Here is a 25,220-nt window from a genome sequence, read left to right as displayed (position 1 = left end):
TCTTGGAGGAGAGAGAAGTAAGTATGGGGATTAGGATGTAAGAGCAAAATGATAGAATTCTGAATTTTCTTTCAAGTCCTTTGAGGAACCAAAGAAAACTGAGGATGTAGAAACAGTCTTAGCAATCCTGGAACCTGGAAAAAGTAGTCAAGTGGCCACTGGAAGGCTGTAGATATTGTGGAGCAGACATTATGGGCCAGACAGATACTATAGATCTGGGGTGAGTGGCAGGACTGGAGATAAGCTTGATAAATTCTGGGGAAGCCTGGAAAAACTGTTGGATCTGAAAGTGTTTCTCAAAGACCTCAAATTAGCAATCTAAGTAGTTTTGTCTGTCTTAAATTCTCTGCATGCCCAGCAGGAAACCTCTCCAATTTTTTGGTTCTTATTATCCTTCCTTTTCCCACACTCTTCCTCAGGAGTGTAGCTGTTAAAAAATGTTAGTCAAATGATTCTACCGAAGAGACAAAAGGACATTGATCTGTGAACAATGTCCAATTAAGGGTTGATTGTATCTCTGACTATGGATGTGGGTACAACTAAAGATACCAACAACAACAAAAAATGTAACCATGTAGGTTTTCACAGAAAATAATAAAAAGAAAATAAATTTGGAAGTAAAAAAAAAAAAAAATTCCCACTGCCCTAACATAACACTTTTCGTTTCTTGAAGTCTTAATACTTCAATTCAGTTCAGTTTATTAGACAAAGAGTGGGCCCTGTGACAGGGATAGAAAAATGAATAAGACACTATCGCTGTTAACAAGAAATTTCAAATTTTAAAAATGGGAAGAAAATTTTCATCTATAATAAGCATGATATATTAACTGTTGTATTATTCATTTGAGAAATGGTGTAAGAAAAAAGAAGAAGCGGATATTGTAACCATTTCTTATAATAGGTTAAAATATTTTTCATATTGTACATAGGATTCTAATGTATCAATCTTGAGAGTTCCATTGTGGGACTTTACTCAAATTTTCTTAGATATTTTCCTTTTTGTTGCATATAAAGATGTTCCCAAAATTTTCTTAGTGTATAGTGGTACTAAATATCTTTTAATATATTATTCTTCTCTTGTATTATATCTTTACACTCAATTGACATGAGATGACTACTATGTCAAAAGATAAATAAGCACATATTAACTTTTTTCTGTGAAGAATCAGATATAGATCCATTAAAAACCAGTTGGCTTTCTTTCATTTCTCTAAAAATATGCCACACCCCAGTAAGAACTGGTTTGTTACTCATAAAGGAAACAAGGAAGAAAATTCTGAGGTGACTGATAAATTCGTAGTGGAATTTATTTTATGTATGTGGATACTTCCATTCTTAAAGTAGTTTTGCTAGTTTTCTATCTTTGTTTTGTCTGTCATTCTCTCCAAGCTTTAGCTTCTCTTGACTTTACTGATCTAGTTAAGGTTAACGTTTTTTCCCTACTCCTCTACTGAACAGTTTCCCTCTGAACAAACACTCAAAACTTTCTCTGCTCCTTCTATACAAGGTGAATTCCAAAAACACCTTCTCTCAGCTTAATGCAGAACTTAGTTCCTTCTCTCCTATGGCCAGCTCAGTAGGGCAAAACCATAGATGAGTTTAACAGCTGGCATACCTAAATCTGGCTTTAGAGGTTGGCATTCACTCTGCCTATTCCCAGTAAATGTGTGAATGGCACGTAAGCGCTCATTACATGTTAAACATCAAAAAATATTTTAAGAGAATTTCTAAACCTGCCATTTTCAGTCAGCTGTCATATGACAGCACTTCCTGTGAGAAAAGGCCTTTAAGTTGCTTTCATCCATCAAAATTCCCTTCCCCATCAATTTACCTGATTCTCCCTGTCCTCCTCAGAGTGTGAGTGAAATGACTGGATCAGAATACATACTTCTAAATAGATCTTTATACTGAAAGTATTTGTAATTATTCATCAATTTTGTGCATGTGTATGTGTAACATAAGCATATATAAGTGAACAGTTGACCCTTGAACAACTCAGGAGTTTACAGGCACCAATCTTTCATTCAGTTGAAAATTCACATATAACTTTGGACTCCCCCAGAGCTTAACAACTAATAGGCTATTGTTGACTGAAAGCTTCACCGATAACATAAAACAGCCAATTAACACATATTTTCAATGTTATATGTATTGTACACTGTATTCTTACAATAAAGAAAATACAGAAAAGAAATGTTATTAGCAGAATTATATGGAAGAGAAAATAAATTCACTATTTGTAAAGCGAAAATGAATCATCATAAAGGTCTTCATTCCCATTGTCTCCATGCTGAGTAGGCTGAGGAAGAGGAAGAAGAGGAGGGGTTGGGCTTGTTGTCTCAAGGGTAGCAGAGGCAGAAGAGGTGAAGGAGGTGGCAGGGGACACAGGAGAGGCAGACACACTAGGTGTATCTTTTATTGAAAAAAATCCACATGTAAGTGGATTCACACAGTTCAAACCCATGTTATTCAAGGTTCCACTGCATATTCAGTTCAAACTGGCTTTAAAATAACATGAACATAAATAATAAAATCTCACAGGAAAAACAGTGCTTTTTAAGAAAAGAAAAAAAGAGAACTAATTAATCTTTCTCAGCCTCTTTGACCACTTTTCAAAACACTTTGTCCAACAGTAACGTTTTAAATGGATTTTTTTAAATCCATAGAACTCATTATCATAACATTTGGAAGTCATTACATATATGTGTATATATATATGTGTGTGTGTGTGTATATATATATACACACACACACACATTTATATGTGTATAACTACATATATAAGTAATATATGGGATGATATAATCACATACATTAGATATACATGGTTGTGTGTAAATTATTATCCTCATATATATATAAATATATTTGAAGGCACATATTTTTCAAACATTTAGAAGCTCCTGAGAACAGAGGTTTTCACTTGTATATCCCTTGTATTCCCCTCAGTTATTAGAAGAGTACTAAGTAGAATAGATATCAGCATATTGATTGGTTTTAGATGTTAGATATATAACTAAGGTAGCCTTTAGTCTATTGTCACAAATAGCCCTTAGATTGCATTTTCTACTGATAGATTCCCTAATTATTTTATCATCATTCACAACCCACTGGAAGACCACAAAGAAGAAACATGTGTGTTTACAAGGGCTAGTATTAAAATTAAAGCTGACAAAGAAGGTTGTCATTGAGAAACGAGAGAAAAAGCTCATGGTGTGATTAGAATCAACTCTCTGATCCCATATTGAGCAGAAGTCAGAGCATAAAAGCATGCCTAAGGCCCTGCCTCTGTTGCATCTTTAATCAGAAAATGTGGCAACCTCCTTTTTTTGCTAACTACTGGTCTTCACCTTCTTCCTAGCATAAAAGGCCACTTCATTATTTTTCTTTGTTTTTCTTTGATAAATGATTCCATTTTCCCCAACTTGGTCGGCAGAATGGCCAACATTAAACGTTCATTTGTTTAAACTAACAGAGTGTGGTCAGCTGATTCCCGAGGGAGGAGAGGAAGCCAAACAGGTCTAAAATGGCATCATTTAAGAACACAATCAATTCGTTATCTTTTTCATAAAGTTCACATATGTGCACATTAATCATTGTGGCGTGGCACTGGGCAGGAAGTTCTTACCTAAGCAAGTTCCACTCTACAATATATCTTTAGTGTTTAATGGCCTTTGCAGCTTAGATTTTATTGTGTGCTCACTCATCTGTTGTTTTATGAGCCAGTCTGTGTCTTTGTGACGAACTGATTAAGCAACTGGTTTTGAAGTTAAATTCGTAGGCAAGTCAACACTCCATCCATATCTAGCTAAGGATATTTGCCTGTTAAGATCTTGTCTCTTCTCTAGTATATTACTGTTAGAGGTAAGGAGAAGTTTCTGGAAGAACTTAAGGCTCTTTAATAATTAAATAGCTGATGAAAATCTGGATGGTGACTGAAAAATAAGGATGTTAAGGTAAAAACCTAGTGGCCATCTTCACATATGTACACGGTTGTCTATGTTAAAGTAAAAAGTAAAGTCATTATGCACTGTTACAGAGAACAAACAATAGTCCTATGGAAAAGAATGAAGGGCAAGATAAGAAAGAACTTTCTCAGCACTCAGCAATGAAACAAATGAACTAAAGAGCTGAAGTCAAAGGAATGATTCCAGAAGAATCTAAACAAATGAACTAAAGAGCTGAAGTCAAAGGAATGATTCCAGAAGAATCTAAACAAATGAACTAAGGAGCTGAAGTCAAAGGAATAATTCCAGAAGAATCTGTGCTATGATGAGTCAAGGATATTGAAGTGGATCAGGCATTTGCTCTTGAGATTGGACTATGTGACCTTCCCAGTAAGAATTCATGATGTTCATCACTTTCTGAGTATTCTTACCTCTTACCAACCAATCAGTCTGGTAAAATAACCAGATTGGTTGTTTTCTCTCTTCTTTTTCCTCTGTTTCTTCTTTATTAATTTCCTCCCTCCATTCCTTTTTTTCATGAGTTTGTTGCTCAACATAAGCCTTTTAATAAAATGATTATTTATTATCTTATATATAAAGATAGTCGTAGCTATTAGTGTTCCAGTGATGTAAACATAAATTTCAGACCTTTATACCCTTCCCTGGTCAGCTACCTTTTCTGACTACTGTGAGTCTACTCTTCAAACTAACTGGCTTATATTATCAAAATTCAGAAGAGAATATCTAATTTTTTTCTGGAAGCAAAACTAAAAATTGCTATTTTTTTGTTTCATAAGTAATCCTACATTTTCAGGTTATATATATTAAATAAATAGAATCCAAGAAAAGAAAAAAATATGTCAAGGGCATTTCCAATTCATCCTAAAACACATGCCAATTTCAACTTTATAGCTCACCTAGAGAAGATTGTAGAATCTTTTCAAAGCCTTTTAAAAAATATGATAGCCAAACAATATTCCCTATGTCCTTAATTTAATCTAATTTGAGTTTCATTGGATATGCAAAATAGTTTGTTTCTTATAAAGATTTCTCCTATATTTGTAGATTGCAATTAAATCACTCCTTAGCCTTCACTTCTCTATATTAAATTAAAACTCTATCTCCTCCCCAGCACTGTTTTATGCCAGCTCTTTAACAATTTATGATGCTTTCTGCTGAATTCTTACTCAAAAGTGTTTCTATACAAGATTGGGTTGAATTCTTTACATGCTAAGCCCTTCTAAGATTGATGTATATCATCATCTATATTTTGAAAGTTGAGGAAGAAGTTAAAGAGGAATTAGGCCTGTCATCATTAATAGGCCCTGAATCATGGCTAAGATTAGAAATCAGGACTTCATACCACAAATAATAGTGAAACGAACAGCAACTTCATCACTCACCAGTCACCAGTCACCTAACAGGTTGCCCTCCAATATCATCTTTATTTTATAGCACTATATTTCTTACCTCTGAGGATCTTTGTGAAATAGATGGGATGATCAGCTGGGCTGTGATGGATGAAACCATGTTGATTGCTGTTTTCCAAGATTGAAGACTCTTTGAATGTTAAACCATACCCTATCTTCGGCAGACAACTCTAAAGTAGCTCTATGACACCCATCCCCCCCAACTCCTGATGTTCATGCTCTAGTATAATCTTCTCCTTTTGAGTGTGGATGCAATCTATGACTTTCTTCTAACCAGTAGAATATGGCAAGGGTTATGGGATGTCACACCATGATTATGTTATGTTATATATTAAGTCTTGCTAGTGGACTTGCAAGTCCATAGGCAGTTCATAACATAGCAGCTTGCTTCTATGTTATGAACTGCCTATGGAGAAGACCACATAGCAGGGAGCTAAGGAGTAAAGAATGACCTCCAAGTAACAAGCAGCAAGAACCTGAGGCTCTCAGTCATACAGTCACAGGGAATTGCCAACAATTAAATGAGCTTGGGAGTATATTTTCCCCAGTTGAGCATCCAGATGAGAATGCAGCCTAGCTGAAACATACCTTTATTGCAACTTTGTGAAACCTAAGCAGAAGACCCAGACTTCTGATCCACAGAGACTGTGAAATAATAAGTGTGCATTATATTAAGCAGCTAAGTTTGTGGTAGTTCTTTGCATAGCATAGAAAACTAATTGCTGTCTTTCCAGATGAGATAATTGAGGCTGTTGACTGTAATAAAGACATCTTTCCAGTAAGCTCAATAAAGAGACCAAAACTCAGAGCTTCAAGACTGATGATAAGGTGGTTTTGTTTGTCCATTTTTGTATTTGTTTTGTTATGTTATTATAAGAAGAAACACCACAAGAAAATCTCAGGAAGAAACTCTGGACAGCTGGAAATGTAGGAAGAATGCCTGAGGTTGCCACAGAAATGAGGACAAAATGTTCTGGATTATAAAGGAACTATGGTTTTATTATAATTCTAAAAGAAACTTTTAAATTCCTACCATGAATATTGGCCTACTTTTCAGATGGTTGTTTTTAAAATAAGAGTGAAAACATGAACTATGTCAAGCATTTGATATATGTCTATATGTATATCAAATATTTTATATGGACATTTCAGCATTGGAAAAAATGAGAAAGAAAAAAGGAAGAGAGGAAGGAAGAAAGAAAGCAAATTAGGAAGGAAGTAAAGAAAAAGAAAAGAAAAGAAGTAGACAGGAAGGGAAGAAACAAGGAAGAAAGGACAGAGAGAAAGATTTATAATAAAAATTCTTCTGATAATATATAAAATACAATGGCCTATAAAACACTATAGCCAAGTAGTTACTTTGACTTTACATAAATATGGAATGTTCACATAGAGCAACTGTCAAAAAAAATAGAAATTCCTTATTTTATGTTATGGACATTATCACATTTAAATTATTATATATTTCTTTAAAATAACTTGCTAAAAATAAGTAAGTCACCTTTGCAGAGGTTTGACCACAATGTTCACAACTTCTGGATTCTTCTTACATTTTAGTTTATCTTAAACTTCTTGTAGAGTTTGTGTTACCAGCCACCCGCATTGAACACAGTCATTTAGATTGAATATCTACAGACTCCAAAATCATTTCCCATCTTATAACTCTGGCTACCTGCAAGACTGGTACCTACAATCCTTGCTAATCAGCCATAGTTAACTCTGCTCGCTTTATACAGAAAATAAAAGGGAAAGAGTCTTTCATAAGCTTTGACACACTACACTAGGCCAATGGTCCTCAAGGTCTTCAGGAATAGAATTAAACACTTTTGACAGTGCTTACGTTTGATTTCTCAGGGAGAGCAACATTAGTCATGAATTTTGCAGCTTATTACTTGCTCAGATTCCCTGGAGGGCTCGGACACTGTGATTGGTATTTCAGATATTGAGGGTCCCTCATACCTATCTTGGATAACCAAGGTTTTCTATGTGTGTTATTCCGCCTTAAAATGCCCTGCCTCCTATAGTTTCTCACCTTTTACATTCACCAGTAGAAAATTCTTCTTCTTATAAAGTGTTAGGTGATGTTCATTATCAAAACCAGTACTCTTCCCATATTTGTGTAGATTTCCTCCTAAATGAATCTACTCAAACCAGCCTCCCACTTGGAATAGTCATTCCACTTTTCTATTTTTAACTCATGGTATACAGACAACTGTCAAAGGAATGCTAAATTTGAACTTCAAATGAATGCTCAAACACTTTCACATTTCAAGGTTCGACACACGCCTTTCCTCTTCCATGTCTCTTTGTTGACCAACCTTGATTACCCAATTCTCACAAATATTTTTAATCTTGAATTTCTAGGATCTATTTGAGGACTCTACAGTATTTCTCAAATATCATAATAAAAGTATTGTTCTCTTTATATTGTGCATAGGTGTGCTTTGTGTGTAACTATGCATCTGAAGGAGCCCAGAAAATTTCACCCCAACATATGGCACCCCAGAATGTGATTATTTTAAATTAAAGGCCCTTGAAGGTCAGCAGATGCTAAAAGTTTTACTCTGCTATTCCCTTATCTACCTCAAGATGGTCCCACCAAAGAGAACATGATTGCCTCCTTATACCCTCTTTGGAATTGGATTCTTTATCACTGGTAGAAGACTGAAGAATGCAACTACGCCTGGATAAACTTTTTCAAAAGATAATATCAAATTCCAAAGGGAATCATTTGTAAGCAAATTTCTGTTCCCCAGGTTCACTTATTCTTCCTAATAAACATTTTACTACCCCTCAAAATAATTGCCTACATTCCCCATCTCCTCTGCCACTATGAAGAGGGGTATATGACCATCTGACCTCACTGGGTTATTTGGATAATCACTCTCCTGTGATTCCCCCAACCTTGCACATTAAAATACAATTTGTATTATATTTCTCCTGTTAATCTGACTCTTATCAGTCCATTTCCAGCTAACCTTCAGAGGGCTAAGAGAACGCTTTTCTTTTTTGACCCCATACAGGTGGAAATTAGGTTTCAATTACTTTTTAATACTCATAGTCAAATAATATTGTATTTTGTACACAGTAAATACTTAATACATCTACCATAAAATAAATAAGTACTTTGATAAAATAACTACTTGCTAATCACTGGTTAAAAACCAGTGAAAATCCAGTTCAAAACCGGTGGAAATTCTAACTCTTACATGTAAACAGTTCAAAAAGGTACATTTTTTTTTCACAATGATATCTTGAAAGGCAGTATAGCAGGCATTCAAAGTTCCCAATGCTAAATGTGGAAAAAGATCCCCAAGTAAAGGTAGTGAAGAAAATATTGTAAAGAAATAGGACCAGGTCCCTAGGAGGCCAATAAGGTTATGTAGCCTCAGCCTCATGATTCAGTGTTTGCCAAAGAGATCATTTGAATAACAAATGCAAGAGAACAGCTGCAAGTTTGCATGGGGTGGAGGTAAATTTAGGTGTGAAAGAAAGCTAATTGCTTTAGTGTGTGCCAAACTTTTCAGGTGCTAACAAGATCCTGCTTAAGGACCCTGGGGGAGCTGGAAGGGGATCCCAGAATGCATTTGAGCTCAGTTATTGACTTGTATCCTAAAATCAGTCATAATTAAAAAAAAAAACAAAACACAAAGCAACTTAAAAAAGACCTTGAGTTTGAGTACAGGAAGAAAGGTTAATCTGCCAAATGTTAACCTATATAGATAAAATAAATTTCATGTGATTAATCCACATTAACTCAGGGGAAATGTAGATTGAGTCTAAACCAAATGCTTTGACCAAAGTCGATACTTAGGACAAGATTTAGAATTTCTAAAATCTCTACTTATGTCTGGAGAGTAATGAATATGTTGGCCACAATTGCCACAATGTTTTGAGAGAAGATGGTTCTAATTTCAGAAATAAATTAAAAGTTATTTCAGTTCTTCATTGTCACCTTGTAATGCATACATATGCTTGTGTGTGTGTGTGTGTATGTGAGTGTGTGTGTGTGTGAAGTTTCTGGCTAAGAATCAAATTAGAAAGTTCCCAGTGCTCGATTACTTATATTTAATGGGTTAGCCAACTATCAGCTTATAATGCTTTGAGATGATAAAGAGAAAAGCCGAAAAATAAAAGAAAATAATTGATTTGTTCTTAAGGTGATTAAATTATTTGACAGCATCTGCCACCTCTTCCCACTGGTTGTTTTATTGTGGGCCTATTCTTATGAAGCATTTCTGCTTATACCATCACAGGCCAACTATGGGGTAGGCACAATGATAGGACTGATGAATTTCCAACTCTGACATCTTTAAAAAGTCATAAATTTACCATGCTTCCTGGTATCAGCATTAGACTAGTTTCAAGCAATAGCACAAATAGGTGTTACTCTTCAATTTGTTTGTCTCCTATGTAAATGATCCACTATTATTTGCATTAGTTCTTTTTTTGTTACCTATTTACAGATACTTAGTCAGGGATAGTGGGCAATTATAAACCTGGAATTTCAAAAAGCTAACATTTGAGCCTGATCTCCTACTATATGAAGCATAAACTGATACTTCTGGAATGGCTAAAACATTCTCTATAATTTTTCTAGAATGTTTTACTTCCCTTATCCATTTGCCCAACTTCTTTCTCTACCTTTGGCCAAAAATCATTTCTTATAAGCAGTCTTCCAAGATTCTCCCAGTCCTTATTTTTGCATAGTATTTTGGTTACACATAAATTATAACTCACCTCCAGTGATACAGCCTCCTATATTTTCCTATAAATCTCTGCCAGTTCCATATGGGGCTTTCCACTCCTCACACAGAACCATGCTTCTCAGACTTGGACTCCCTGGATTCATGAAATGTCAAGGCACTCAGACAATTTCTTTTTCTTTTTCTTTTTTTTTTTTTTTTGAGACTAAGTCTCGCTCTGTTCCCCAGGCTGGAGTGCAGCGGCACGATCTCGCTCACTGCAACCTCCATCTCCTGGTTTCAAGCAATTCTCCCACCTCAGCCTCCTGACTAGCTGGGATTATAGGTGCACGCCACCATGCCCAGTTTATGTTTGTATTTTTAGTAGAGACAGGAGTTTGCCATGTTGGCCAGGCTGGTCTTGAACTCCTGGCCTCAAGTGATCTGCCTGCTTCAGCCTCCCAAAGTGCTGGGATTCCGGGTGTGAGCCACCATGGCTGGCTGATCAGACAGCTTTCCTTCCTTCTAGCCTTCTATACTCTTCCCTTCTTTTTCCTCTCTAGTTTTCTTTCTCACTAAGTGTGATGTTAGCTGAGGGCACATTTTTCTTAGGTCTTGCTTTCTTGTGGCACGTAAATTCAAGCTCATACATCATTTTCATATTAGGAATTGTATTGGTTTTTAGGAAGAGAGACTTAGGAAAACAAAAATAAGAATCACATAGGACACACTTCTTCTAAATTCTAAAGGTCTTATAATTATGTCCATTCTTCTTTTCTTCCTGCCAGTTGTGTTGAGATAGGCTACTGGCATAGGATTTAATTTCTAAGAGTGGGGATTACCAAACTCCCTGTTGATATCCTGACTTGGCTTTGGGAGAGGTAATGTAAGACCTCCACTTTTGAAGTCCTCATTTTTCTCCTCTTGTCTATGATGCAATCAATGATACTCTCCCTGTTGCCAATGATGAATTCTATTTTTGAAAAACATTCAAGTTCTACTCAGCCTCTGCCTCAAATTGGGAGATTCACATCTGAGCATTTCTTCATTCCTCTTTAACATGTGTAATTTTGAAGAGGAAGGATCAGGAGTTTTTGTGTTTAGATTTTATGTATTTTGTATTTTGTTATTATATTGTATACAATAGGTTTACTGTATATTTACTCAATAATGTTATTTGGATGTACTAATTTTCCACAAAAGATGTATGTGAGATGATATCCAGGTTTTCTCTTATTTCTGTGAAAATACTTTGCCTTGAAAAACAATATAATACGTGACTGATAAATATGGTAATGTGATAGAACTTGGAAAATGAGCAAGAGCTCTCTGTGGGGTATATGTGTGATGGCTACAGTGGTGGTGTTAAGAAAGAAAAGATACTTGCAGTGATTCTTAGCTCACCATGGAGAATTAGAGTAAATTTAGGTTTGTTTTTTATACTCAGAAAATTCCAGGATACTAAATAAACCATAGGCAAGCATTAACTGGTTTTTAGGGAAACTGTTCATGCCATTGGGTTGCTTACTAAAGATTCAAAAGTAAATCCTATGCACTAAGTTTAACTAAGGGCAGGTACTCAATATGTTTCTTGATAGACTAAAACTAAAATATCTAAGGATGATATTAGGAATATGAATATACATATAGAATGTTATGCTGTATACTAATACCCAGGATCTAATGAAGAAAGGAGAAAGTAATATTCAGAAAAGGAGTGGGGTTAATTAGGAAAGGCTGATTATACCCAAATCTGATTTTTCTATTAAATCAATTTCCAATTCTTTCCTCACTGGAGATGAAGAACAGCTGTCCTTCTTTAAAGGCTCTATTAAAGATGTCTTTCTTTAACAGATCATCATATTTCAAACACAATTCTCAGAGCACCCTTTAGTCTCCTCTTTGCCAAGCTAAACAATACCACTTTCTTCAACTTTTCCTGTGAGACCTATTTACCCTTGAATCATAGAGCACACACTTGAAGAATATTGTCTTTCATAATCTCCAGCTTAAACCTGCTAATTTTAGGCAAAATTTTAAAAAAATATATTTTGGCAACTATTATGCCTTAGTAATTAATCCACTCAAGAAAATAATACTTGCACCATGGATACATATAAAAGACAGTTTAACTTGAAAGATGTCTATTTAAATCTCTTGTTCCAGACACATCCTTAAAATATGATTAGATAATAAGGGTTATAGTTGACTTCTCCATCACAGTTGCCTTTATGGGTCTTAGTAATAGTCATAAGCAAATGTACCATGTGGTGATCCATATGGAGTAACAATGGAGATAGGTCAGCCAATCAACTGACTTTCTTAACTTAGAAGCTGATTTCTACCACAAGGCTTGAATCTGAACCCCTTGATGCTGTTCTTTAAGGGAGCATAGCCCAACCTAGAGACAGGAAGTAGGTTTTATTCCGTCTGCCAAGTGGATTCCTTGACTATTTTGATGAGATGCAATATTTTCTGAGGCTGCTTCCATGCTTAGCAGGAAAGCAAATCATCATTGATTAACAGTGTCTGCCATGCACATGGCCAAAGAAAATGACATATAAAATACCTATTTGTCACATTTGAATAGCAAAAGGACACTGTTGTGAGGCATAAGCCTGAATTCTGGATCTTTCCAACATCACTTTATGATCTTAAGAAGCTTATTTTACCTTTTTGAACCTCAGGTGCGATAAAATGGAAATATTATTTTAACTCCCTGAAAGCAGTGTGCAGAACTAGAAGTCTTGAAATTACTTAAAGCACCAAAACACATTATTCTGTGTGTCATTGAAGAACATTACTGACTCAGATTTCATCAACTCAACCAAGAGACTTACAGCTGGCATTTTGCCATCATATAGTCTTCTTGGCTGAAAGTGACTATTTCCATTATTGAATCCAATAATTTGTTCCTGGCCCAACTAAATCTAAAGTTACATACTAAAATATCAAAAACAGTAAAACAAAGTGGGAAAGAAAAATAACTTGTACAATTGCCATTTGATTACTACACTCAATTTTGGTGATTGTCAAAAACAATATCTAATTTATAGTATTTTATATTTAAGCATCTGGCAGTTTGATTAATTTGATTAATTAATTTATTAGAATTCTGTCAAGTCTGCTGCACCATAACTCACATAAAGAACTAAACAATAGAAAATAACTTTAAAAAGAATTAAGGATGTCATGATTTGAGGTTTAATATAATTAAGTTTTCACCTGGAAAAGGCAAAATAAGGTGAAATTAGGAAACGAAGAGGCAAAAAAGTAGATTTTCAAGCTAAACGCACATTGCAAAGATATTTAACAGATGTTTTATTTTAAGGCATTAGGTTTTGTATATATTCTGAAGGATGCTGTAATAGATAACTGATTTCGTTAAAGGAGTATATGTTGGGAAATGCTTTCTTATATTTTGGGGCTGGTCTTTGATTTCCAGTTAAAAATTAGGCTGCTGGAACTTTTGGATACTGCTTTCTGTTGGGCACTGAAGTGTGCTAAGTCCAGCAGGACCCTCATGGAGAAAGTCTGCTAAAGAAATGGGTCATATCCTTGGGTGAAACATTTTCCTCTAGGGGAGGGAAATCAATCTATTTGCTGCACTAGTTGTTATGCAATCTGCTATCTGGACATCATACCGCTGATATGTTGGAAACAACTCTCAACTGACAGCTTTCCGAACTAGTTTTTCTAGCTATCCAGCTGATGAGCTTCCAGCCACCCCACATTTTCCTGACCTCTGCAATTTTGCAAGCAGGGGCCTAGTGAAGTAATCACCTGACCTCAGCAAAACCATCGTATAAAGGGAATTTCGTTAACATTGTTGTAAGCGCAGCTGGATGGACTAACTGCTTTCCTTTGCAGATTGGAAGTCTGTGAATTCCAGCAGCTTGAAATGGTGTTCCTGGGTTCTTGCTGGCATGTGGCTGTGTCTGCCTCATGCTTCTTTCTTAGGTGGTTAAGAAAACTTCCCATTTCTGAAAAAATGCAGAAGCATGCACAAAAAGTTTCCATGTGGCCCCTTCCATGACAAGGGATTGCAGGATTAACCTATCATTTCAAAATTAAGGTAGGAGAGTATGCAAGGGGAACAAAATTCACAATTCTTCTTGAGTGCCCATTTCAGGTGTAAATGCTTGTTAGGTCTATGTGAGCACTTGAATAGAGATTGCATAAATTGACAAATTTTATTTTTGCCTGCATAGATGGTTTATTCTGAGGCAAGATTTTCATCAAGAAGAGTATGATCTTCTCAGAGACTTTGTGTTTTTTTTTTTTTTTGAGACGTAGTGTCGTTCTTGTGGCCCAGCTAGAGTGCAATGGCACGATCTCAGCTCACTGCAACCTCCGCCTCCTAGATTCAAGCGATCCTCCTGCCTTAGCCTCCTGAGTAGCTGGGATTACAGGGGCCCGCTACCACGCCTGGCTAATATTTGTATTTTCAGCAGAGACGGGGTTTCACCATGTTGGCCAGGCTGGTCTCGAACAGCTGACCTCAGGTGATCTGCCCGCCTTGGTCTCCCGAAGTGCTGGGACTACAGGCGTGAGCCACCACGCCCAGCCGAGTCTTTGTGTTTTGAATGATCTAACATTTATCTTGAAATATCTTTTATATTGATTGAGCACTTCCCAGACACAGGAGTGGGAAAGGGAATATATGCTGGGGAGGCCAAAGCAACTCCATCTTGGATGCCAATCTGCCGTGTTGGCTTCTCATTAACCCCTGTTCCGAAAAGTCCTCTAAGATTTCCAGTTTATCTGTTGTTCCTTGTGTAAAACCAGGTACTTACCATAAATCCTACCCTTAGGCCAAATAACCTTGATATTATCATAATTCAATTGTCCTACACATCCCTTCTGAATCACCCTTCCCCTATGGTGTATAAGTCCTGGATCTGGGGAATAATGGTAGATGGTTCCACCCTTTTGTCTCACCATCTCCTGAGACACAGACATGGCTTCTGTTAGTAAGTCTGTATTAAATATTTCTTTCTGAGACATATCAGCCTCTGTCTTCAGTCTGTCAGCTTCCTTGGACTTTGGGGGTAGGTTTTTACTGACCTGACCATCACAGAACACAAACAAACTGAAGGCAGATGAAGAAAGGTCCAGAAACCCCAAGGTTTTAGAAAGAGTAAAAACAGACTCAAATTTACTCTGGTTTATTGGGAGGTGAGGGAGGGGAAGTGAGATCCTAGACTGATGGCATGGTACAGTCAAACTTATACATACTTGACATTAGTGTTTGTGTTCTCTTATCATCCCCTTGTGCCTCATCTAAACTCCAAAGTCCCAGCTGTTTTCCTTTTTTTCAGTATCCTACTCAGGCCAGGCATGCTTTCTTATGGCTGCAGATGAACAAACAACTTCACTTTCACCCCAGATCCAATTTTCCATCCCTTCAGTTCTGACTTGCAGCTAGATTTTACAATATGAGAAGATCTGATTAATGAATAACCTGTAAAGAGATGCCTAGCTATCAGTGACCTAGAATTATAGATCTCAATGAGATGTATATCTCTAAATAAAAAATCGGTAGAGATGGAGATACCTTAATAGAAATAAACAATGGGTGACACAATCAGTCTCTGGTGCTATAGGGTGGAGGAGATGATTGGCCAGAAATATTATCCTGATATTCCTCAAATCAATATACAAGTGTCTACAAAATTGCAAAGCACTCTGCAGTGTTGTTCAACAAATTCCATGTACAGCAATCAAGGAGTGCCCCTTAAGATGGAAAGAAATAGGTTTTGCATCTAATAAATGGAATCTGCCATTTATCGTAATCGGACATGAAATGAAACAAACAGAAACAGATATATGAGAAACAAAGAGGCTCTCACAGGCAGCTTGATGGCATTCATTGGTGTCAGAGGACAGTGTAGCCATTCAGTGCCAACATGGGGAAGTGAGGCTTGACCCCCTATCCACCACCCTTGTGTGGTTCTGAATCATGTGGGCCACTGTGCAGAATTACTACCAGTACCAATGTGACTACATTCTAACTGCATTTGAAAGAATCCTCAAACCCAGAAATGTTTTATAGTCAAACAATTGTTCTCTGTATCCACTTCAAGTCATGACAACCTGTGAGCTCAGGGACTTTGAGGCACACACCTGGCCAAAGAATACTTCTCAAAGAGTCAAGAGACTTTCTGCAGGGTTGTAGGTCAGTACTGGGAAATAATGTCCCTCTCGTTTTTCATCTTGACTTTAAAAAAAAAAAGGGTTAGCAGAGCTAGTATGTCTCTTTCCACACAGCAGAAGATACATTTTTCATACAACTTATATTTGGTTTCAGTACTGAAAGCCAGAAGCCTTGAGCTCTCTCATCCCACGACCACACTAAATGAAGTGTCTTGAATGTTATTTTTCATATATGTAATGTTTCAATGAAGTAATGTGCATGAGTTGCACTGATCCATGGACCTATCTGTGGTTATTTGCTTCTGCAGCCATTCCAAGGTAAGTCTCTATGAAATAGTTTCAGCCTCTTTGCAATCCTGGCCTGGGTTGAAGTCATCTCCTTAATATTTGGTCCTTCACACAGCTTATTTTATTAATTGCAATTAACATGTGTAGATGGACTCTACATCTTTGTGTTAAACTCTTCACCTAAGCAAATAAGAACATTTGCTGGATGCCCACTGTGAATAAAGCACTCCATTGGAAATTGTGAATTTGTAGACAAAACATTAAAAATAAGAACAAAAAAACCCCACACTGCTCTCCTGGTTCGAAAATTGAAATGGAGGAGAGATGCTATAGGTGAAGATCCTACTTCAGATCATAATCAAAGCTCTAATAAAAACTCATCCTCTGAAAGTTGATTCCTCTACTGACTGAGATTGAGACTTTCTCTCAGCTCATTCACTGCTTTGCAATTACAGTGCGTGCAAGTTTCTCTGCTCACTTCTCACATATAATACATTTTGATGAGACATAAAACCATATTCACTGGACTGATAATTATTGGTCTGTGCCGGCTACCTTTCCACTTATATGGTGATTTCTGAGAGCAGGAATCTAGCACTAACACCTTCTGGTATTCCTTACTATTGGCACAAGGCCCCACCCAAAGGATTCAATAATGCTCTTTGTCAAAATGCTACAAGACAGCCACTTTTCAGATGTAAGATCTGAATTTAAATGGTGCCTTATCAATGAGTCCTCCCTGGGATATCTGTCTAAAATATTGCCCATCCTGTTAGTCTACTCTTAAACATCTCAGTTATTTCCTTCAAAATACCTCTTTTGTTATCATTCATGTGCTTCTTTATTTTCTGTTCAACCTACTAGACTAAAATCTCCATAAGAATAGGGACTTTACTGGTTTCATTCCCTACTGTACCACCAGAGTTTAGCTATTTTTCCAGGGCATTAAAAAAAATCAATAAAAATTTTGAATGAATTAATAGTATTATGTATTTGGATTATCAAGATGATGAAGTTGATGGTAATAGAAGTAAACCTTTCAAAACATCTCTTGCATGTAATACATTAACTATAAATGAGCTTCTCGTCCCTATTCTTTAAAGGCAAAAGTTTGCTAGAAACAATTAGTGTATTTAAAGAAGGTAGAAAAGTATGTAGTTATTGATGAGTATATATACAAAGATAATGTTGACTAGGGGTTATTGATCATTAAGTTCCATGGAAAAAAAACTGATCCAGTCTGCATAGGCTCTGGGCAATTGGCATTGGCCTGGAGTCAAGGTATCTAAGAGTGTCCCATTTAAAAATGGCCAAAAAGAAAAAAAAAGTGATACAAGGAGCAGCTTTATCAAGACCAATTGCCTTCATTTTGGTTTTTGTAGCCCATCAACCGTCTTCACATTAGAAATACCTCTCCTTTTTTCCCCGAACACATTTGATAGACACAATTGTTTTTCTTTCATGCATATTCTATACTTGCTGCCAGTTAAATAGCTACACATGTGGGTTTCTTGCCAAAATGGTCCCATTATTAAATCCTAACTGTGTAACCAAGCACTATGACCCATATATTTGGCAATAGTCTGGAGCTTTTCATTTCTATCTATGGCAAATTGAGGTCAAAGGAAAAGACCTGGAAATTTCATCAATAAAGCACACATATTCTTTCGTTTATTTCCTTGGTTGTGTATGCGTATGCTCACCAAGGATTCGACAGTATTTTTGGAGTAGCATAGAAAAAAAATCAAACAGAAATCTTAAGATCATATATACGTGGCCATTTTCATTACTCGTTTGTTATCAACATGACCTCAAGAAAAGCCAATGGGCTGAGTCATTGATTGCTTATTGTCATCAAAAGTAATCAATTAATCAAGATTAGACATTTAGGGGGCTTTTAGGATGAAATGAAGTATAAGAAATTTTTCTAGAATCCAAGGAACTCACAAATCATGGGCTAGGGAAGCTTTCTCGACCAATTAATACCATGGAATCTATAATCATAGGGCAGGAAGCAACATCAGAAATCATTGTAATCAAATGCCTCACTTTATGGCAATGCAAATTAAAGCCCAGAAAATGCAGGTGAGTTGTTCAAGGTTATTACGTGTGCCAATGGCAGAGTCAGAGCCAGGGCCCTTGACTCCCTACCAGTTAATAATTTAAAATAAATTAATTGACATCAACTGAAGATAGTATAGGAACTGGGACAGCATCTTGGGGAGGACAAAAATGCTCAAGAGCTGCCAAATAGAAACTAAGAGAAAGAAATTACAATAACAGCCACCATTTATTGAGAAGCTATTATGTACAAAGCACATCACTTGGCATTTTATAAAATGATCCCTAATACAACAGCCCTGCAAGGTAGATATTATTCATCTTATTTTCCAAATGAAAAAACTGATTCAGTGAAGTTAATGAAGTAGCCAAAGGTCACAGAGTTAGAAACAAGATTCACACTGAGCTATGCCAAACCGAAGCTCATGCTCTTTCTGCTAAACCAAATTTTCTTGAGGGAATACTGATGGTAGGGCCATGTTTAGTCTGACCAGATAGCTCAACTAATGGAAGCATATGAGGAATATGTTCAAATAATCTAACTGGACATGATCATGGAATACTTTTCATCCTGGACTAATGAGTTAGGACTTTCATAGGAGTTTACTGAGTCACATTTGAAAATTGGTGCTTTGGGAAGGAAATTCATGTAGTGAAGGCTGTATAATCAATTAGTTGGATGATTGATAAGGACATGAATACCAGTAGTAAGGGTTTGATTTTTTTATGTTTATTTTTCTCTTGTTTCCTCAAAACACTCAGAAATATTCTGGTAGGAGGATTTGAAAAGTGATCTCAAGTCCTCAGAGGCATTTTTCCTTCCTGCACAGCCAGCATTGATTTTCAGCATGTACTTACTTTCAGCAACTGTTTTGATTGGACACACATCTGTTCTGATAAAAGTACCCATGCCACAGTAGATGTTTCAATTTTGCATATGACTCTTGTGTATATATAAAATAAATCCAAGCCATCCTTCAAAGGTGCAGCCCTACTTCATCATGTGTTTCTCTGAGTACCTCATGATTCAACGTCTTCATTACTAAGTCTTTATTATATGTTAATGTAATATTAGTATGACACAGGCCCCTGAAATTTTAAATTTTAGTCAGAAACCCTCCCATAGGTAGAATAAAGGTATCCTTCAAAATGAGAGATGAAGAGACAGAGAGAGATTGACTAAGTGAACGTAAAGTTCTATCATTTCTTCTTGTGAATCAAGATTGCTGTTGGTGGTAGTTTTTCCCAGCACAGCACATAAAGCTGTTCAGCATTTTGCTCATATCAACCTTTCACTCTGGATCTTTCTACCCTTCGTTAACAGGCATCAGTCATTCCTAACCACTAGAGACCTCTTTGTCTTTTTTGCTCTATTTGCAAGAACTCCCTTCTCTCTTTATGCTACCATGGAATCCTACACTTGAACACCTCAGAACAATTACATTTTATGGCTGTTGATTTGATTGCATGTTTTCCCTTTAAACTGGAAATTTCTCATCAATGGAAATTTTGATTTTCAAATTAGGTTTGCTTTTCAACCTACAACAGAATAGGCACTGCTCTATACATGTTTTCATAAGGAAATATGGAAGAAAGGAAAGATAGAAGAATGGAAAGGGGTGGAAAAAGAAATCAATATCTATATGTTGCAGAATTAAATCTGCAAGTAGTTGTGATTGATTTTTTCTGGGACTTATAATTTCTCAATTTGTGGTTGATAAAAAGAGTGAGATCAATTGTGTTACCTCAACCTGGAGACCAGTTCTATATCCACCTGTTCTACCAACTAAGAAAAACATCTCCAGAAACATGTGGATTATTGGATACACCAATCACACATAAATACTGAATTAGTAAGAGTCCTGAATTAGTAAAAGTCTCCAAATTAGTAAGGAGAATTTGGTCATTGTTTAGGTTAAAACATGATCACTTTTAGCTATTACACAGTATTTAGCAAAGGACTAGAAACGTGTCTTGAGGGAAGAGATGATAATTTAGTCATTATATTGTTTAATCTCTGGGCCTAGCACAGTGTCTGGATCATAGAAATGTGGTTTGGTTTGGTTTGGTTTGGTTTGGTTTGGTTTGGTTTGGTTTTTTGAGACAGGGTCTTTTTCTGCCACTCAGGCTGGAGTGCAGTATCATGAACATGGCTCACGGCAGCCTAGACCTCCTGGGCTCAAGTGATCTCTCCACCTCAGCTTCCTGAGTAGTAGCTGGGACTGCAGGTGTGCACCACCATGCCCAGCTAATTTTTAAAATTTTTTGTGGAGATGGGTGTCTCAATATGTTGCCCAGGCTGTTCTGAAACTCTTGGGCTCAAGTGATCCTCCTACCTCAGCCTCCCAAAATGCTGGCATTACAGGTAGGAGACACCATGCCCAGCTTGAATCTTTTAAATCAACATTTGGGTGAATATTAAAATGATGTTACATATTTTATGCTTATTGACTGGTTTCTGGTTTTGTTACCAAGTAGTTCTGTAATCTCTGCAAGCCCGTTTCCTCATCTGTGAAGAAGAATGAATATATGTCTACCTGCTTTTTTTATCCTGAAGATTATCAGGGTAATACACACACACACACACACATAAATGCTAACATGCTTAAGAAATGTGAGATACTATTAATGAACTGAAGTAAATAAACTAATTCTCCTTGTAAAGATAGCAATTTTCAGGGTACATAATAAGAAAGAATTGTTGGTAAATATTTCATAAGTTGAGGCTGAGGGAAATCTACCTTTTTCTCAGTTTTTGCCTTTCGAGCTATTCTTTTCATGCTGTATCATTTTTAATAACTCAGTTAAAAGTTGTCTTTTTAGAATGCCTTCTTATGGTGTTATGATCTGGCCTCACTTCGCGAATACTAATTGAAAGAGCCAAGATATGGTTACAGAAGGTCCAGATGAATGGAGATGTGTCACTAGCAGAACAGAGTTGACTTTCTCCATGGGAATCTATCCCTGAAACAAAGGGACTGTCACTTCAATGACCCATGAGCCTCAGTTAGTCACTAAGCAGACATATTTGAGAAACATGCCTTATCAATTACTTCAGGAAATAAGTATTTTTAAAAAATGAAAATTTATTAACTTATATCTGATTGGATGCAGTACTTTAAAATTTATCATCAGAAAACTACCCTGCGACTGTTGGTTTATTCATTTGGTTTAGCATAGCTCTAAAGAAGATAAAGTTGTGGGTTAAGTTCCTGAACAAATACCTTCACATTTTCTCAAGAAGTAAGACATCCTCTCTGTGTATATCTGATATTAATCAAAGGAGAAATCAGGATGAGAATAAGAATGGTTATGGAAAACCGGTTGCCGCTTGGAAAGGGAATGGGGAAAAAAATCCTCTCTAAGTTCTTCCTTTGTTCCAGGCACTAGCCTTGGTGATATATCTACATTCTTTCATTTAATCCCTTTAGGGGAGAAATCTGAATCTTCATACTACGGAGTGGAAAATCCGGGCTTAGTGAGCCCAATTAACTTGCCTAAGGTAACTCGTCTGCTAAGTGCCAGAGCAGATACGGAAACAAGTTGTGTTGGACCCTTGCTATAGTAATACAGTGTTACAGCTTACGCAGGACATTTTACTTTTGCCCCCAGAACTTTTCTCTAGCTTCTCCATCTTTCTTACATCTGTAATGGACTGACCTCTAATGGACTACATTAAGGGACTCCCACACCATCTGGCTTTCATGTCAATATAAGCCTCAGGAAGACAAGGGAAAAAGGGAGACAGGAGCTGAAGGGTGGGTATTTATTACCTGCCTTTTTTCCTGTAATGTCTTCTTAGGACAGATATGTTCTTCAACAGAAGATCACTGCTTTTCTGAGGGTGGCCTGTTTACTGTGACACTGTCCTTGTGGATCCTGGTAACTTCTTCCTCTTGTTGCCCTTCAGGCATAGGGCTGATAATCACAGCTGCTTGACAGCTAATCCCAGGTTCCTCCCCTACTTACACTTCCTCTATACCAACCCACATCTTGGTAATTAGATCCTCCTGGAATTATTCTAAATTGTATCCTTCATTCCTTTTCTACTGGGACCCTGACTGATAAGGTGTATCTGGAATGTCCTCCTTGTATACAAAACTTGCATAAAAATAAAATGGCAAAGTAGATACTTTGTCCCAAATTCACAGAGCCACAATTTTGTTGCTAAATCTACGTATCTTGAAATGAATCAAAGTTTAAAACTGGTTGTGACTTAGGAACTCATAAGGAAGAATGACTGCTCTCCTAGAACGGTGTTCCGCAGACAAGAAGCATGCTGTGACTTTTAATCATGAAAAATGCATTCACTGCAGAAATTCAACACTAACTCCATGAAGTTTATGTAGAGAATGTTTTCAGTCAACAAAACATGTCAGAGCAGTGAGTAAAGTTTTAGAGGAAAGGCAGAGTTTGGGGATGCTGGGGGAAATACAAATTTAGGATCATACATTTTAAAATGTCAGTCTCAGACTCCAACAAATAAACGTATCCTTCAGGAGTTTACAATGAAGTAGGAAAATCATTTAAATTACTGTTAAATGTTTGTGATAATTACTTGCCCTGTAATAAAATCAAGTTCTTAAGAAACTCATTGGAAACTTTTTGTGGTTGGTTAAAAAAAAAAAAAAAACTTCTTAGCACAAACTATATGTTTCTTGGTGAAAAATGAAGGACTAAAGAGAAATGGTTCTTGGATAAGCTTATTTTTTCTTGTTTATTTCTTATTTTCTCTTTATTAAAAAAAGGCTCCAGATAAAGGCAAAAGAATTAAGTAACAATTATGAGAGCTTATTTGAAATACAATTATTAGTTTCAGGGCACCCCCATTAAGCAAAAAAAAAAAATGGTTTTAAGATATGCAGATTGCAATTCTAATTCACTTATTAAGGAATACGTATTTCTTTCCCTTTGAGGATTTAGACAAAGTCACATGCAGAGCTCCTTAAAGTTAAGAAGGAAAAATTTCTTTTCTTAGATTCATGTCAAGAAAGGTAATAATGTTTTTATACTTCTTAGAAATGGAACCACATGCTTTAGAGTCAGCCTGTTAGCGGTACATGGCACCAAAGTATGTTACAGCAGCAAATCTATACATATTTGCAGCAACCTCAGTTCGTGCCTCCTCAGAAGAAAGAATTGACTGAGTCAGAGTGGGAGATCAAGGCAAGTTTTAGAGCAGGAGTAGAAGCTTATTAAAAAGCTTTAGAGCAGGAATGGAAGGAAGTAAAGTACACTTGGAAGCACGCCATGTTGATTCCTCAAGAGGTCAAGTGTACTGTTTGACCTTTGACTTGGAGTTTTATATGTTGGCCTACTTTCAGGGTCTTGCATCTCTTCTCCCCTGATTCTTCCCTTGAGGTGGGCTGTCGACATGCACAGTGGCCAGCTGGCACATGGGAGGTGAGCATGCACAGTATGTTTACTAGAGTTGTACATGCTCACTTGTGGTGTTCTTCCCTTACCAGTTGAATGTCCTTACAAGGTCATACATTAGTTAAACTCTGCCACTTTGCCTCTTAATGCACATGCTTGAGCCCACGTGCCCAGCTCCTGAGATCTTATCAAGAAGCTTCTGATCATCAGTTTCAGGTTTTTCTACCTAATGGGAGACTGGCTTCCCCTGGAGCTGGTTGCAACCAATTATAATTTTGGTGAGGCAGTTAACAACTGCCTCACCATCACCTGATGGTCACCTGACATTCCTAGTGTGGGGGCTAAGGGATTCCTGTCCTGCCCTGCTCATGTCTGACTAGCTAACTACAGAAACAAGGCTACCTGAATTGGAATCCTGATTCTGTCCCTTATTGGTTGGTTGTCCTTGAATAAATTACAGAAACTCTGTGACTCAGTTTCTTTTCTGTATAATGGGTATGACACCATTAGTGAAAACTCCATAGCCCTGATGTGAGAATTAAATACAGTTACATGTATAAAGCATGTTACACAATTCTGGCACAAAGTAAGTATAAAATAAGTGTGAGCTAACATAGTTATCAAAGAGGGTGACCTCACTGGATTATGCTATTATCATCTTTTAGTAGAAAGAACTCTCCAGCTAGGTCTCTTGCCATTTTCTGTTCCATCCTGGCAGAAAAGTGCAGCTACACCTGACCTGTCCCATATCCTCAGATGATTGGCCACCTAAGGTCTTCAGCTGCTTGAGGACACTAACAATGTCTTTCTCATGTTGTTTATCCTTGTGTTTGACCTGAAATGAAGGATTACAAATAAGCCTGCATTAAGTTAATAAGCCTCCTAAAATGTCAAGCTAGCCTTTTATGTGTTTCTCCATTGGCTAGTTTGCCAGAATTTTGCTATCACAAATTATTTGGTGAGTGTTATCAATTTCTTTGACCTAAACAAACAAACAAACAAACAAACAAAAAACACGAAGAAACTAGAGTTGAAAAATATAAAGGATAAATAACATGATAAGGAAGAGGAATGGCATAGACAGTTCTAGCCCTTCAGTTACTCCCACTAGAATCATTTTTATGCATATGAGGTGCACATGAACCAGAAGGTACTGGTTCTTCAAAACCAGCCTGTGCGGGACTGCATTTGGGTGAGCTGACATCAGGCAGGTTGGGCTTTTGCTAAATTCCCTTTCTTAAAAAGCAGATCTTTTCCTGTTCACAGGTTTAACTGTT

At 36.7% G+C, this 25,220-nt stretch overlaps 1 long non-coding RNA gene across 1 annotated transcript in view, besides 1 other annotated feature; it reads left to right on the top strand.

Moving 5' to 3' along the window:
- MIR924HG (MIR924 host gene) overlaps positions 1-25,220 on the top strand; it is a 545,072-nt gene that overhangs the window by 151,297 nt on the left and 368,555 nt on the right. The gene's annotated exons all lie outside the window — the stretch shown is intronic.
- Positions 8,537-9,439: an enhancer, noted in NCBI's record as "OCT4-NANOG hESC enhancer chr18:37171224-37172126 (GRCh37/hg19 assembly coordinates)". NCBI's record gives its function as "activates a minimal SCP1, AML or CMV promoter by ChIP-STARR-seq in primed H9 embryonic stem cells {active_cell/tissue: H9 hESC(primed)}" and the evidence as "EXISTENCE:reporter gene assay evidence [ECO:0000049][PMID:30033119]".

Source organism: Homo sapiens, chromosome 18, assembly GCF_000001405.40.
Source record: "Homo sapiens chromosome 18, GRCh38.p14 Primary Assembly".
Lineage (NCBI taxonomy): Eukaryota > Metazoa > Chordata > Mammalia > Primates > Hominidae > Homo > Homo sapiens.
Note: the sequence above shows the minus strand (reverse complement) of the source record. Positions and strands in the feature narration are given on the sequence as shown.